Below are 693 nucleotides of genomic sequence, written 5' to 3'. Positions count from 1 at the left end.
CTGGGTTTTGGTATGGTTTGTTAGGCAGCCATAACTAACAGGTGTAATTGGTCCTTATTCCCTTATTCACTGAGAGTGATGGGTTCTCAGCCCTGAGCTGGACTTGGAGGCCATGGAAATGCAGTGGACATGGCCTTTGTTCCTTACCTTGAAGGTGTGGAAGGAGGTCAAGTTCATGGAATAATGGAGAACACACAGCTGTAATCGTTTGCTTGTTCAGGGAACACACATTTATTGAGCACTTGCTATGTGCCAGGCACAGTGCCAGGCAGTAGGGATCCAGATATTTAAAGAAAACAAACAAAAATCAGGTCCAAAACTCCTGGGGAGAATGCTGAGAGTGGTATCAGCTTTTAGGAATTCAGACACAAAATCTGGATTGAAAAATGGACAGATGTGAAGACAGAAAAAGACACCAGATGTGGAGTGTCAGTGGAGGGTCTGGGGGCCCAGGCTCCTGCGCTCTGGCTGGCTCAGCTTGTACTATCATGTGGGTGACTGGCCTGCTCTTCTGTCCCACACACATGGGTGGAAATTGCAACTGCAGATGGGCAGCTTGAGGTTTACGAACATCAGGGAGACTGTAAGCCGGCCATGAGGGAAGCAGCTGTAGAAAGGTGGGCATGGAACCAAGGTGGCCAGGCCCAAGCCAGCAGGCACCCCCCCACCTTGGGGATCCTGACCACTGCAGAG

This window comes from Homo sapiens, chromosome 1, assembly GCF_000001405.40.
Source record: "Homo sapiens chromosome 1, GRCh38.p14 Primary Assembly".
Taxonomy (NCBI): domain Eukaryota; kingdom Metazoa; phylum Chordata; class Mammalia; order Primates; family Hominidae; genus Homo; species Homo sapiens.
Note: the sequence above shows the minus strand (reverse complement) of the source record.